The sequence below is a fragment of the Homo sapiens genome, chromosome 14 (assembly GCF_000001405.40).
Source record: "Homo sapiens chromosome 14, GRCh38.p14 Primary Assembly".
Taxonomy (NCBI): Eukaryota; Metazoa; Chordata; class Mammalia; order Primates; family Hominidae; genus Homo; species Homo sapiens.
The window spans coordinates 53,708,703-53,725,658 of record NC_000014.9 but is presented as its reverse complement, the minus strand read 5'-3'; the positions used below and the strand labels follow the sequence as shown (position 1 = coordinate 53,725,658).

The 16,956-nt window shown below is 39.4% G+C and overlaps 2 long non-coding RNA genes across 11 annotated transcripts in view; one reads left to right on the top strand and one right to left on the bottom strand.

Annotated features, from left to right (window-relative positions):
* Nucleotides 1-16,956, top strand: part of LINC02331 (long intergenic non-protein coding RNA 2331) — a 165,830-nt gene that overhangs the window by 125,168 nt on the left and 23,706 nt on the right. The window lies entirely within an intron of this gene.
* The window catches only part of LOC105370504 (uncharacterized), a 402,142-nt gene continuing 388,051 nt past the window's right edge, over nucleotides 2,866-16,956 (bottom strand). The window contains exon 4 of the long non-coding RNA XR_943876.3: nucleotides 2,866-6,547. This is a non-coding gene — a long non-coding RNA (uncharacterized LOC105370504). The remainder of the gene's footprint in view (nucleotides 6,548-16,956) is intronic.

The window sequence follows — 16,956 nt, the reverse complement described above, 5'->3', positions numbered from 1 at the left end:
TCTGCTTCACAGAAGAGACAGAAAAGCAAAGTCCTGGGCAGGTAGGAGATGCACTGAGGAAGGAACGACCTGGGAGGATGGAGGAGTGTGGAAGGAGGACGGCGGGGCGGGGGGGTGCAGAAAATAGCAAAGGAGCTGGAGAAAACCCTTCCACCATGCTCTGAATTAGTCTCCGTCTTAATCCTACCTTCTTCCTATTTCCCCAGATCTCTGCAGATTTTATTTTATTTTATTTTTTTTGAGACAGAGTTTCACTCTTGTTGCCCAGTCTGGAGTGCAATGGCACGATCTCAGCTCACCACAACCTCCGCCTCCCAGGTTCAAGTGATTGTCCTGACTCAGCCTCCCGAGTAAATGGGATTACAGGCATGTGCCACCATGCCCGGCCAATGTTGTATTTTTAGCAGAGACAGGGTTTCTCCATGTTGGTCAGGCTGGTCTCGAACTCCCGACCTCAAGTGATCCGCCCGCCTTGGCCTCCCAAAGTGCTGGGATTACAGGCATGAGCCACTGTGCCTGGTGGGTCTCTGTAGATTTTTAGAGAAACATGGAAATGGAGGTGAAGCTAAGGGAAAACAGAGACCCCACTGCAAGAGTTGCAGGGAAAGTGAGTAAGAAAAACGCTTGGCTAGGAGAAGGCACCAGAAGTAGCTCTTGAGAAAAGAGCCGAAAGAGCAACCCCAAGCAGAAGGGATCTCAGAGAAGGAGGGTTCATTACAGGGATCACTGCTGGAGATCTTGAAGGCCCAAGGACAGAGAAAGGTTTTGTTTGGTTTTATTTTTTCCCTTCCCTAGTGACATTATGAGTGGCCTTGGGAGATGCCTCTCCCAGAGATGGAGGCCTACGGAACTCAGTCATCGCATGCAAGCTCTAGTAGTAATGCTTTTTGAACCAGTTTCCTATTAACAAATCTCCTTTGTTCAGTGCTGTGTTAATTTGTAAAGGTTTGGATCACCCAATGGGCCTTGTTTTTTCTTTTCTCAGTTCAGGATTGCTAAGTAGGGACTTACGCAAGTAAACAGTTAACCAAACTCCCCCCCTCTATATTAAGTTACCAGGGGTAGGCTCATGCCTGTAATCGCAGCACTTTGGGAGGCCAAGGCTGGCAGATCACCTGAGGCCAGGAGTTTGAGACCAGTCTTGCCAACATGGTGAAACCTTGTCTCTACTGAAAATACAAAAAAAATACCTGGACATAGTGGTGCACGTTTGTAATCCCAGCTACTCAGGATGCTGAGGCACAAGAATCACTTGAACCTGGGAGGTGGAGGTTGCAGTGAGCTGAGATAGCAGCACTGCACTCCAGCCTGGGTGCAGAGTGACATTGTCTCAAAAAAGAAAAAAAAAGTTTCCCGGGGTGATTTGACCAGATGTCTCTTTCCACTGTGAAAAAGGTATCTGCTGTCCCACTAGAACTCCGACCTAAATTGTAAGTGTCCTTTTAAGGCAGAACAGGCAGGAGAGGAGAATCATTTCGAGATGATGAAATGGCTATGGTCCCACAACTAGAGGACAAATTTTCCCTCAATCAAATGAAAAAACAATAACATCTATCATAATACACGTAATCTGTTTACAAACACTGTAAATGAGTGTGTGTGTGTGTGTGTGTGTGTATGATTTGTGAGGAAGCAGCATACAGTGCCTCTTTAGACATGCCTTGAGCCCTAGAACCATCAAGCAGGCCGCCCTCAGGAATAAAATAAAGTTTCATAGATAGGCCTTAAAGGGTGCTGTTATTTTGTACTTTTTGGGAGTTGGTGAGATGAAAATTCCACAGTATCACTTAGAAATGTTGTGGCACTTCTGAAAACAGTGAGCTTATAATGTGATATCTCAGGCAGTAGGGATAAAAAATATTCAGTTTGCCAAAAGAAATGAAAGCAGGTGTCAATACAAAAATTTGTACATGAGTGTTCAAAACAGCATTGTTCATAACAGCCAAAAAGTGGAAACAGCCCAAATGCCCATTGACTGATGAGTGCATAAAGAAGATGTGGTATATATACATATAATGGAATATTATTCCGCAATAAAAGGAATGGAGTAGTTATTTGTGCTGTCAAATAGATGAACTTTGAAAATATTAAGTGAAAGGAGCAAGTCACAGAAGGCCATACGGTATGATTCCATTTACATAAAACATCCAGAATAGGCATATCTATAGGTACAGGAAATAGATCAGTGGCAGCCAGGGGCTGGGGTAAGGTGGAGAGGAAATGGGGAGTGGCTGCTAATAGATACAAGCATACTTTGAAGACACTGTGGGTTTGGTTCCAGACCACAGCAATAAAGCAAATAGCGCAGTAAAGCAAGCCTCACAAGTTTTTTGATTCCCCGTGTATAAAAAAGTTATGTTTAGGCCGGGTGCGGTGGCTCATGCCTGTAATCCCAGCACTCTGGGTGACTGAGCTGTGTGGATCACCTGAGGTCAGGAGTTGACCAGCCTGGCCAACATGGTGAAACCCCATCTCTACTAAAAAATACAAAAAATTAGCCAGGAGTGGTGGCGGGTGCCTGTAATCCCAGCTACTCTGGAGGCTGAGACAGGAGAATCACTTCAAACCAGTAGGTGGAGGTTGCAGTGAGCCGAGATCACGCCACTGCACTCCAGCCTGGGTGACAGAGCGAGCCTCCATCTCAAAAAAAAAAAAAAGTTACGTTTATACTGTAGAATAATATATTAAATGTAATATGTCTAAAAAAGCAATGTACATACCTTAATTAAAATATGCTTTATTGCTAAAAATTCTAACCATTTTTGAGCCTTCAGTGACTGATAATCTTTTTGCTGGTGGAGGGTCTTGCCTTGATGTTTATGGCTGCTGACTGATCAGTGTGGTGGCTACTGAAGGTTGGGGTGGCTGTGGTAACTTCTTAAAATAAGAAAACAGTGAAGTTTGCTGTGTCAATTGATTCTTCCTTTCACAAAAGATCCCTCTATAGCATGCAATGCAGTTTGAAAGCATTTCACCCACACTAGAACTTTTTCCAAAATTAAAGTCAATTCTCTCAAACCCTGCTGCTGCTTTATCAACTAAGTTGATGTAATGTTCTAAATCGTTTGTTGTCATTTCAACAATCTTCACAGCATCTCCACTAGGAGTTGATTCCATCTCAAGAAACTACTTTCTTTGCTCATCTGTAAGAAGCAACTCTTCATCCATTAAAGTTTTATCATGAGATTGCAGCAATTCAGTCCCACCTCCAGGCTCCACTTCTTATTCTAGTCGACTTGTTATTCCCACATCTACAGTTACTTCTTCCACTGAAGTCTTGAAGCCCCTCAAAGTCTCCATGAGGGTTGGAATCAACTTGTTCCAAACTCCTGTTGATGTTGATATTTTGACCTCCTCCTATGAATCACAAATATTCTCAACAGCATCCGGAATGAGAATTCTTTCCACATGGTTTTCAATTGACTTTGCACAGATCCATCAGAGGAATTGTTATCTATGGAAGCTATAGCCTTACAAAATGTATTCCTTAATAATAAGACTTGAAAGTCAAAATTACCCCTTGATTTATGAACTGCAGAATGGGTGTTGGGTTAGCAGGCATGAAAACAACATTAATATTTTTGTACATCTCCATCAGAGCTCTTGGATGATCAGGTACACTGTCAATGAGTGGTAATATTTTGAAAGGATTTTTTTTTTTTCTGAGCAGTAGGTCTCAAGAGTGGGCTTAAAATATTCAGTAAATCATGCTGTAAACAGATGTGCTGTCATCCAGGCTTTGCTGTTCCATTTATACAGTACAGGTAGAATAGTTAGCATAATTCTCAAGGGCCCCAAGATTTTCAGAATGGTAAATGAGCATTAGTTTCAACTTAAAGTCACCCACTGCGTTAGCCTCTAACAAGAGAGTTAGCCAGTTCTTTTGAAGCTTTGAAGGCAAACACTGACATCTCTAATTAGAAAAGTCTTAGATGTCATCTTTCTCCAAAGCAGGCTGTTTTATCTACATTGAAAATATGTCGTTTAGTGTAGCCACCTTCATCAATGATCTTAGCTTGATCTGCTGGATAATTTGCTACAGCTTCCATCTCAGCACTTGCTGCTTCACCTTGCACTTTTATGTTATGGAGATGGCTTCTTAAACTTTGTGAACCAACCTCTGCTAGCTTCCAGCTATTCTTCTGTAGCTTCCTCACCTCTCTCAGCCTTCAGGGAATTTAAGAGTTATGGCCTTGCTCTCAATTAGGCTTTGGCTTAAGGGAATGTTGGGGTTGGTTTGATCTTTTATCCAGACTACTCAAACTTTATTTCAGCAATAATGCTGTTTGACTTTCTTATTGCTCATGTGTTCACTAGAATAGCACCTTTAATTTCCTTCAAGAATTTTTCCTTTGCATTCATAACTTGGCTAACTGTTTGGCTCAAGAGTTCTAGCTTTTGGCTATCTCAGCTTTCAGCATTATACATGCCTTCCTCACTAAGCTTAATCATTTCTAGCTTTTGATTTCAAATGTCAGACTTATGACTCTTCCTTTTTTTTGAACACGTAAAGGCCTTTGTAGAGTTATTAAATTGGTGTAATTGCGATATTGTTGTGTCTCAAAGAATAGGAGGCCCAAGAAGAGGGAGAGACAGACGGGGGAAGAGCCAGTTGATGAAAGAATCAGAACGCAGACAACATTTATCAATTAAGTTTTCCATCTTATATGGGCACAGTTCGTGGTGTCCCAAAACAATCACAATAACAATATCAAAGATCACTGATCACAACACCATAACATAACAATAATGAAAATGTTAGAAATATTGCAAGAATTACCAAAACGTGACAGAGACACGAAGTGAGCACATACTATTAGCAAAATGGCACCAATAGACTTGCTCAACACTGGGTTGCCACAAACCTTCAATTTGGAAAAAAACGCAGTATCTGTGAAACACGGTAAAGTGAAGCACAATAAATTGAGGTATGCCTGTACAGGATTTTTTTTGGGAGTAATTTTCCAAAATTGATTAGGATGATACTAACACAATTCTGTGAATATACTAAAAATCATTTAATTAGACAATTTTCCTTGGCAATTATATGGTATATATTTTTTAAAAGCCATTACAAAATATCCCATATGCCCAAGAGGGAATAATGGCAAGGCATGGAGTTTGGGAATCTTGAACTTAGAAAAGACCTTAGAGCCCATCTCCTCTGACCCCCTACACATCTGAGTGCTCTTAAAGAAAATCAGAGGCCTGTGTGGACTGACGCTACAAATTTTAATATTTTCCCTTTCGGTACTTGATGCTATCTATCAATTATTTTGCCTTTCCTTCACATTGCCCACAATTATGCTAAGTCTTTAGGACAGTCTCCATGAGACCCCTACACAACTTCATTCGTCTTATGTTGATCAGTTATTCACTGAGAAATATGTTGTCACCAGCCATGTTAATCTTACTGACCAGCCCTTACTCTCTCCACATTGCTATGCATTTCCTCTCATCTCCATGAGGGAAGCCCTTCTGTTCAAGATCAAAGGCATTCTCTTTCTTGCTCTCCCATCTTCTTGATCTCCTGCCACTTCCCCTCTCTTCCCTTTCCCACCACCTTATGCTGAAGATCTTTCAAACCAGTTGGGTCCTTGATAAGCCATGCTGTTTCTACCTCCATGTCTTTTGCAACCCCCAACCCCTGCCCCACTTATCCTGAGTGTTCTCCTTATTGACCAGCATTAATTGAACAATAGTGTCCACAAAAAACTCCTACATATCCTTCAAATCTGCTCAACATTACCTTCTCCCTAAAATCCTCTCTAGTTTCATTCTCAGCCTCCTCCTACCCCTAGCAGAGCATCAGCTTTTCTCTCTCTAGTAGTTAAAATTTGGCCCATGTTCCTTTGCACACGTTACTCCAAATTGCATATGTTATACCAAATTGCCATTATTATCAGTTTGTTTACATGTCAGTCTCTTGAAACCCTGAGCTCTTTGAGGGAGGAAGTGTTTCTCTTTGCTCTCAGTGTCTCTTAGAATCTACATGACTGGTGCACACCAGATGCTTGTTGGAACAGTCACAGGAATCTCATTATATCACCCTAATTGATGGCTATTTAGCCCTAACCTAAATGTTTTCAGTAACAGGGCACTCACTCCTTTTTGAGACACCCCATTTCAAGTTTGGAACGTTGTAATTATTGGGAAAGTCCTCCTTATTGAGCCCAAATTATTGAGCCCAAAATATTGAGCCCAAATATTGAGCCCAAATATTCTTTCCTTTAATGTTCACTCATTGATCCTGGCTCCACCTTGTCAAACGTATAAATCAAACTGTCCCCTCTTGAGCACAGTAGCTCTATCAAATGGTTGCTGATCACATTGATGTAACTTTGTCCTCCTTTCTCCTCCTCTGATCACACACAGAGTAAGAGCATTTTCTCTCACTCAGGCTAAATATTCCCACTTCTTTAAGGCATTCTTGTTTAAATGGAATCTGGATCTCCCATGGTCCTACTTGACCTCTGCAGATGCTTTCTAGTTGGTCAATGTCTTCATCCAGTGGCTCACAGAACTGGTTTTGGCCCCTGGATGTGATCTGAAAAGAGAGAAGACAACAAGACTAAAAGTTCACTGGATCAGGAATGATGCTCCTGTTCATGCAGCCTAGAGTTTTTTGTGAACCATGTCACACCACTGTAGTGGACTAAAACTTCCAGAATTTTTCAGATGACTTGAGACATGTTCAATCTCCCCCTCTAATGTGAGCTTTATTGTTCAAGAATTTACCTGGAGTATTCAAATGGTCAAGTGAAACCAACGATACCATAATGACCTAGAGGTTGGAAAGTTGGAAAGGAATGGCCTAGAGGAGACAAAGGCCAAAGAAGAAGGAGAACAGGAATGGGGATGCTGATGTGTTTTGCAGCTACTTTATCATTTCACTAAAGCTTCACGGTGCAGTACATTTCCATATGGACAGGGATCATGGCTACTGACGTATCACTGTAGCCCTGCAACTACAACAGTGCCTGGCACATACTAAGCACTTAGCAAGAATTTGTGAGAAAGTGGGCACAATCCCTGGACTGTTTTCTGTGCAGGTCACAGGAACATTGAAATCTGGCATTGCATTTCTCGCAATGGGGAAAAAGCATCTGTCTGTGAGTATGTGATATGCTAGGTGTGTGTGGACTCAAAAGCAGAGGTGTTCGGTTATAGCAATAATTTTCATAGGATTCTCTGAGGACAGGTTCTTAGGGAGGGCAGCAGGGGATGCAATTGAGTGGGGTCTCAGGTCCCCATCCCACCACAAACCTAGAATAGCTTGACTTTTAGCTGTTTTGTATATTGAGTTTCCACACACATTTTCTTTTGAAGACATGGCTCCTTGGCTAAAAATCATGTTAATATTACCAGGTTTTGATGTTGTTTGCAGCTACTTTATCATTTCAGGAGGAGATTAAGACAGGTTAAAATGACAGTGAAGAACTACAATGCCCATCTCTCCCACATCTGAGCTGGTTGGTATCTGGCTGCTGCCTATACGCTCTAGAGACGGGGAAACTCATGCTATGCCAGACAGCCTGCTGGGCCAGGTCTCCTGCAAAGAGAACCACAATGGGCACACTCTGCTTGTCACAAAGCAAAGTAGCCTTTTTCTGAGCTCCATTAGAAGATTTCTGGGCAGACACAGACCCGGCCAGACCCTCTTGTAGAAAGTTCTCACTCCTCAGGCTCAGGAAATGCTCCCTCCCTGACAGATATTTCCCTCTCCTCACTTTGCTTTGTCCACATTAGCTGGCTTTCGTGCCTAAATCTTGGCCTTTCCCAAACCCACTTTATTATTACCTGCATCGAGAGTGGGAAGTTGGTTTAAAACGCAGAAATGGTTGTGCACCCATAACTTTAACCAGGTGAAGAAACACGGGAGTGAAGTAGGGGAACCGGAGACAGGAGCTACTTCTGCAAGACTTGCCATAAAGTGAGTGAAGAAAAGCACTCACTCTCACCCCAGGAAAAAAAAGGAATAGGTGTAGCTCTTGAGAGCAGAGCTGAAGGAAGATCTATTATATCAACGCCATCTTACTCTATATAATCATTAGAGGCTGCGTGTCTCCTAATACTCATCCTGGTTAGAGAAGATAGAGAATGGAAACCGAAGAGCTCTCCTGGTATCCCCTTCACATTCAGTGTCTCTCTCTCTCTCTCTCTCTCTCTCTCTCTCCCTCTCCCTATCTCTCTCCTTTTTTTAATTTAATTTAATTTTTTTTTTGAGACAGGGTCTCACTCTTGTCACCCAGGCCAGAGTACAGTGGTGCAATCACGTTCACTGCAGCCTCAACCTCCTGGGCTCAATCTATCCTCCCACCTCAGCTTCCTGAGTAGCTGGGACCACAGGCATGTGCCACCACACCTGGCTAATTTTTTGTATGTTTTGTAGAGACAGGGTCTTGCCATGTTGTCCAGGCTGGTCTTGAACTCGTGGGCTCAAGCGATCCACCCACCTTGGCCTCCTGAATTGCTGGGATTACAGGCATGAGCCACTACACCCACTCCCAGTTTCTCTCTTAGAGAAGAGAGAGAGAAAAAAAATGCATCTTCCAGATGTACCAGAACCCCTTTATTTAGGAAAAGTCTTAAATTCTTGACTTTCAGATCTCCCCAAAGGATCATGAGCTTGAAAGAGCACATTTTTAAAGATACTAATTCATGCCTTGAGCTTTTCTCCACAGTGCGAGTCTATGACAGGTAACGTTTTGCTCCAAGTCAAAGCTACATCAACTGAAATGAAAATCTGAGCACATCTCAGGCCCAAACGACGTCTCAGACCCAAAACACGAGCTTCAAATGGCACTAGGGTAAATACTGAATGTTTTCATAGTCTTTGTCCAAAATAAACATTTGAAAAATCCCAGAGGTTTTAGTTTCCTGAAGTAAAGAAAAATCATATTTCCAGCTGTCATTGGAAAATATCACAAAAAATCCCACGTTTTTATCTTCCCAAATATTTTTACAATTACTAAATACTTAAAGGACTATTGTCATTTGTTTCTATGTTGGTGAGCTGTTCATACAGAAAGCCCTTACATCAAGAGTCCTAAGGTATTGAAACAGATCACATAAAACTACAAGAGAGGCTTCCTCCTTTACTTTACTCTCCTTTTTGAGTGAAGTAAGAGTCTGATATAATTGCCCATGTGCTCAGTAAATGTGCCAAAGTGCAATATTTTGTCTTTACTATTGAGAATGTTTTTATAAACACGTAGTGATCAGCATATTCTGACTTTCAGAAATATTAACTACAAAATTGGCAGCAAACTTCAACAGTTGCAAAAATCCATATGTTCATTAAATTATTTTATTGTGGGATTTTTTTATTGGCTTTTTTTGTTGTTGTTACTGCTTTCAGTTTTTGAAGGCAGTTTTTGTATCTTTTCTTCTCAAGGCCTTTGGGGTCCTTTAGAATTTTAATTGAAATATGGTAATCCATTTTCTTTGCTAAAATTCATTTTTATAAGTTAAGATTTTAGAACTTTCCCTGAGGTTTGTAAGAGCTATAGGAGTTGAGATTTAAAACTTTTTTCATAGTTCAGCAGTTTTGCTCAATTTGTAAAACACAGAAGAACTGTGGCACATTTTTGTTCTTTAATGACTAGAATGATAAGTCTATTTTCGTAGGTATAACATAGACAATCTTTCAGGATTTGGCATTATGAAGTCATAGGACTGGAAGAGACCTGGTAAGACTATCTAGTTCCAATATGTGTCTTCAGATCCTTTAGGACCACCCCAGAGAAATAAAAATTTGTTCTATTTTTAAAGCTCTCCCTTAGAGATGTTTTTCTTCCTTGACAACAATTTATCATGTAGCAATCTTTATTTCCCTTTTATAGATAAAGATATATATCTTTCCTTTTGCCTTATTTTTTTCTCAGATTCCTTTACACTCATTAGATAATTTCAAAAACACCACTGCAGATCATTTGGTGCTACCATTTCTTTTTTTATAGAGAAAGACATTGAGCCATAGGAGTTAAGTGACTGGCCCCAAGCCTCATTAGAGATGTGAGTCATATTTGGGAGTGAGAACACAGAGCCACAGCCTTCATTCCTGAGCTGTTTCCTCAACTCTGTATTTTTCTTTAACAAATCAAAAAGCAAAAGTAAAAACAATCCCATTTGAGCGACCAAACAATGGTAATCAGATGTGCACCAGCCAATGGCTACTGTGGAAAGAGTTCAACCACCTACAGAGCAATGTCCATCTGTGCTTGTGCAGATACCAAGCTTTCACTTGGCTCATTTCCTAATCTCACTACAAGAAGATAGAAAGGCAATTGTCAAGAAAAAGGACGCACTTTGCATTGCTGTAACTCCAAACATGAACAAGTGAGATTGAGCTAATACCAAAAAGCAAACTCCTCAGTTGATTTGCAACAAGCAGTTCACATGAAACTGGCTGGCTCTATCACTATTGTTCTCATATCGGTACCACTGGACAGCTTTAATTAATATCAGAAACAGCACAGGAAACATCCTTTAATTATTCCTGTTATGTTTAGAGAAAATGTAGCTTACTAAAAACAAAGTAAACTATAAGCCTTTGAACTTGAGTGTTATCTGTGTCCTTTGGCTTGTGAGGGTTTTGTGTTATCGGACATGATAATTTGTTTTCAGTGATACCCTTGATGAAATTAATTGAGTTTTAGACTAGCATACATTTCCTTTTGCTGATACTTTCACTCTTGGCAGGGTCTTATCTGAGCAGTTAGTCCTGTTCTCGTCTGGTTCTGTCTGCTGAGATTTAATAGCTGCAGGACTGTTGTTGTTTTAAACAAAGATGTTTACTTTTGTTATTAATGTAATATTCAATTCACTTCCCCTTTTTATCTTCCCATAACGCAGAGACCTACTCCCTTTTTTTGATGGAGATGATGGTTTTGGACTTCACTGCTAAGTTTCCTTAGAAACACCCCACCGGACCTTTCCAAATATATCATCATCGTAAGAGGGAAAGCCATTTCAGACACTCCTATCTGTACACTTGGCTTGAATTCAATTGCTATCTAACTGCTAGGTCCTAAACATTTCCTTTTATTTTTTTTTCCAACTGTATTCTTTATTTCAAACATTAAAGTGCTATAATGCTTGGTGGGAAAAAATTTAAAATTTCAAATAAGATCTCCTCAACCACATGTTGACTTCACCTAGTTTTAGATCATGCTGTGCATTGCATATCGTTTTTGAAGTTTTTTTGCTCGTATATTACTATATATAAGATAGATTGGTTTTATACTAAAGAAAGAATACTATATTTAGTATTCTGCTATTAGCTTTTACGTATATTAATTTGTCTTCGACATCTCCCTAAGTATGTTTTAAGAACTTAATTAGTGCCATATTGTTAGAGATTAAGTTCTTCCCAGTGTTTTTGCTATTATAAAACAATATTAGTTTATTTAAGCATGAGAAGTAGAGTGTAAATCTATCTTTAATATTTCAAAATAGTATGCTTATTGAATAATCAATTTTTTCTATCATGATTTGAATGGGACTTTCTATGATTTAATAAATGATATGTATTTCTCCTAAGAAACTATTGTTTGAATCACCAACCACTGTTTACTTAAGCTGGGTGGCCCTCAAGCAATACATGAACTACTCCCTAACATTTGTTCAATCAGACAACAAATGTTTACATCTTCCTACCTTCCAAGGACTGTGTTGGTTTCTGGGTATACAGTGAAGAGAGGTGTAACCATGGCTCCCACCTTCGTGGTAACGAGTAAGTCAGCACTCAGCAAAGTATAAAGAAATTACAAATATAGCAGTATCTCCATTCTCTTCTTCTTTTCACTGGTATAGTCGGGTCTATTTTGGGACTCTACTCTAACAGACAATCTGTCTATCTGGTGTCAATAATATAATATTTTAGCTACTTTCACTTTTTATTATGTTTTATATATGATGGAGCTAAAGATAAGATTCTTCCTGTAGTCTTTTTTTTTCTTCAGGAAGATCCTGACTATTCTTACATAATTATACATCTGACAAATGACTAATATCTACAGTCTACAAGGAACTAAAAAAAAATTTGATAAAACAAATAATTTTACCAAAAAGTGAGCTAAGGACATTAATAGACAATTCCCAAAAGAAGATATACAAATGGCCAACAAACATATGAAAAACATGCTCAACATCACTAACGATCAGGGAAATGCAAATCAAAACCACAATGCAATGCCACCTTACTCCTACAAGAATGGCCATAATAAAAAATCTAAAAATATTAGATGTTGGTGTGGATGCAGTGAAAAGGAAACACTTCTACACTGCTGGTGGGAAAGTAAACTAGTATAATCACTATGGAAAACTGTGTAGAGATTCCTTATAGAACTAAATGTAGAACTACCATTTGATCCAGCAATCCCACTACTGGGTATCTACCCAGAGGAAAAGAAGTCATTATATTAAAAAGATACTTATATATGCATGTTAATAGCAGCATAATTCACATTATAAAAATATGGAACCAGCCCAAATGCCCATCAATCAATGAGTAGATAAAGAAACTGTGGTATATGTATATACGATGGAATACTACTCAGCCATGAAAAGGAATGAATTAATGGCATTTGCAGCAACCTTGATGGAACTGGAGAATATTATTCTAAGTGAAGTAACTCAGGAATGGAAAACCAAACATCGTATGTTCTCAATCATAAGTGAGAGCTAAGCTATGAGGATGCAAAAGCATAAGAATGATACAATGAACTTCGGGGATTCAGGGGAAAGGGTTGGGGGGGCAAAAGACTACAAATTGGGTTCAGTGTATGCTGCTCGCTTGATGTGTGCACCAAAATCTCACAAATCACCACTAAAGAACTTACTCATGTAACCAAATACCACTTGTTCCCCAAAAAACCTATGGAAATAAAAATAAATTAATCACATATTTATAATTTTAAATAAATTTTAGTGGCATTTTGTTGAGTCTTGAACCAATTAAAACCTGCTTGAATTTTGTTTGGGACTACATTGAATGTATTCAATAAATTAAGGAGAATAGACTTCATATGCTTTAAAACATCATGTTAAGACAATGTTTCAGTTAGGGCCTTTTTGGGTGCAAATATCCAAAACTCTCATCCAAATTGATCTGAGCAAAAATAGAATGTGCCTCCTGTAATTGAAAAATCATAAGATTGGTTCAGTTTGATTTAGGGTCTCAAGTGACAATGAGATCCAGATGTTTGTCATAATTTAGCTTAAGGTACCTCAACTGTGGCTTCAATCATTCATTCATTCAGAAAATATTTATCAGGTACCTATTATGTGCCAGGAACTACTCTTTTAGTGTAGAAATATGGTTGCCAACAAGACAACTAAAGTACCTGGCTTCGTGAGAATTACATTCTAATGGTTCTAGTTTAGGTTTGAGGCAAGAGCAACATGGCTAACTATATTGCTCAGCCTACAGCCTCCTAGGTCCAAGTCCTATGGAAAACCAAAGATCCTATAGCCTGAAGAGTTGGAACATCATCCTGGGCCTGAATTAGCTCATGTAGTCAGAAGTTGGAAATATCATTATGCTTTTGGCTTACTCACCTACATGTGGGACTGAGTGTATCAGCCCTAACCAAAGTGTGTGGCCTGAAAGAGGATAGGTACGATTCAAGGAAATTTGGATTGCTACTGACAAAAGAAAGGAGAAAGAAAGCTGCATCCTGAACCCCACAAATATCTATTATATGAAATGTTTCTTCCAGTTTTTTTTTAATTCAGGAGTGAGAATTAAATTTCATTAAATGCCATGTAGTAGGCTTTTATTGAGAAATTACATCATCTTTCTCTTTTAACTAATTAATATGGTGAATTATATTGAAAGATATTCCATTATGAAACTTCTTCCATTCTTGGAATATACTTGCTTACTCATGGTGTAATTATATTTAAAATGCATCACTAGATTTCACTTGGTAGTATTTTGTTCAGGATTTTTGCTTTGATATTAATGAGATTTTTGTGGGGGAAGTTGACAAGGTGTTGATTTTAAAATTATACAGGCTTTATAAAAAGAATTTATGTTTTTTTTCCTTGACTAGCATATTAAGCTGTTATTGCATTGCTATATATTAGACTGAGTAATTTCTAAAGAAAAGGTTTAATTGGCTCATGGCTCTGCAGGCTGTACAGGAAGGTTGGTGCTGGCACCAGCTCTGCTTCTTGAGAAGCCTCAAGAAGCTTACAATCACGGCGGAAGGTGACGGGGGAGCAGGCATGTCACATGACAAAAGCAGGAGTGAATGAGAGTGAGAGAGAGTGGGAGGGGAGTTGCCAAACACTTGTAAATGACCAGATTTTGTGTGAACTCAGTGAAAGCTCACTCATCACCAAGAGGATAGCCGAAACCATTCATGAGGGTTCCACCCCCATGATCCAAACACCTCCTACCAGATCCCACCTTCAACATTAGGGATTACATTTCAACATAAGATTTGGGCAGGAACAAATATCTAAACTATATCAACTACATTTTATAAATGTTTAGTAGCACCAGACTTATCAGTTTCTAGAAAGTCTGGGAAAAAAATTATTCGTACAATTGTAGCAGGAATATGTTTTTTTTAGTGCCCAGAAACTTTTGAGCAACATCTTACTGGTTTGCTATTTCTCACATTGTGACTTATTCACGCTCAAGGTAGAGCTCCTGTATTTTCCAGGTTCCCTTTCAAATGGGAAGCAGACATATAATCTAGATTTCATCCATCAAGACTAATGCAAGAGTTGGAGGCAGAAGTGAGCACTATGAGGCAGGAGTCCACGACCAGGAGTTTGAATGCCAAGCAGGCTTGTTGGCAGAAGCACCTGGAGTCTTCACAGGAAACTGGCAAACCACAGGCAACAGAGGCAGTCCCAATTGCATTGTTCCCGTCTGTGTAACATCCTAGCTTGGTTCTTCAGCCCTCCTGGAGTTTCTATGAGTTGCCCAATGTTTTCTACAAATCTCTTGATGCTTCAATTAGCCAGGGTAAATTCTGTTTACATCGAATTGCTAAGTGTTAGGGGAAGTAACTGCAAGCAACAGATTCTCAAGGAAATGAGAATCTAGGATTGGTTACCTGAGCCAGTTAAAAAATAAAATAAATAAATAAACAAATAAATTTAGGAGTCCCCAGATTCCCAAGTAACCATCACCCAGGCCACGGAATAGAACATTACCAGTACCCAGAAGCACTTATCTCTAGGTTGTCTGTCTCTTCCCAAGAGGTACTCTCCTGACTTCTAATACCAAAGATAGGTTTGCCTTTTAAACTTTATATAAAGGAACTCATGCATTATGTATACTCTGTTGTGATTAGCTTCTTTTTCTCAATATCATGTTGACTGACATTGTATATGGCCATATTAATTGTCGTTGCTGTATAGTAGTCCTTTGTGTGACCACATCACAGTATTTTCCTAGTTATTATACAATCGATGGACATTTAGGCTGTTTTTACTGCTTGACTATTATGAATAATGCTGAAATGTACTTTTTTGTAGATGCCTTTTGGTGCATATTTGTATTTATTTCTTCTGGATATATGTATATGTAGAAGTGAAATTTCTAGGGCATAGAATATGTTTATATTCAGCATTAGGAGATAATACCAGATATGTTGTTGTTGTTGTTGTTGTTTTTGAGATGGAGTCTCGCTGTCTCCCAGGCTGGAGTGCGGTGGTGAGATCTTGGCTCACTGCAGGCTCCACCTCCCGGGTTCATGCCATTCTCCTGCCTCAGCCTCCCAAGTGACTGGGACTACAGGCGCCCACCACCATGCCCGGCTAATTTTTTGTATTTTTAGTAGAGACAGGGTTTCGCCGTGTTAGCCAGGATGGTCTCGATCTCCTGACCTCGTGATCCGCCCGCCTTGGCCTCCCAAAGTGCTAGGATTACAGGCGTGAGCCACCGCACCCGGCCAATACCAGAGTTTTCTGAGGTGATCATACCAAGTTACACTTTTACCATCAGTGTATGAAAATCCTAGTTATGCTATATTCTTGCTGACTCCTACCAAGCCACAGTCTTTTGAGCTTGTGTCTTTCTTTCAAAATTTTAGTCATTCTGATGGGTATGTAGTGACAGCTCATCATAGTTTCAATTTGCATTTCTCTGATGTCTAATGAGGTAGAGCATCTTTCCATACAATGGTCTGATATTTGTAAATTCTCTTTTCTGAAGTGACCCAGTTTCTTGATCATTTCACTCCCTGGTTATCTGTCTTTTTCTTACTGACTAGTAAGACACAAACTCTTTGTTGGTTATATTTGGTGCAAATATCTTCTTTCACTCTGAGGATTTCCTTTACACTCTTCTAGTGGTTTTTTTTTTGTTTTTTGTTTTTTGATGAATAGGGTTTCTTAATTTTAACATAATCCAATTTGTAGTTGAGTTTTAAGGAAGTGAGGACCTGGTTCACATGACAGGATGGGACGCTGATAGTCCATGGCAAGCAGGGGCGAAGTGGCCTTTAAATTTCAGCTGCAGCTGCATGGAAAGAAGTGCAAAGTCTGAAAAAATGAGTGGCTTCTGACAACAATTCTGAAGATATTGAGGAACACAAGGGCTTTGGGGTGGAATGGCTGCTTCTAATCATGTCAGAGGGCCTACAATAAAGCAATGATGAGCTCAAGATTTTAAATCTTTGGGTAAAATCTGTCAAAAAGTCAGGAGCATTTTATACTTTTGCAAGATAATACATTTTCTCTTGTATCCACAAGGCTGTTCTGGCCATAAACCAAACAACATTTGATCATACGGATGGATGAATTGTACTGCAGACAGAATTTAAAGAATTTATATAAATTTATGAATTCACAACCAGAGAAAATCATGGCATTGAATGGGAAACAGACCCTGAGAATTGAAATTGGGATGTTTGGGAAGATTTAAATGATTTACTGAATCCTCAAATCCCCAAATACTTAAAACCCACTGACGCTCTCTTAGGGCAGCAC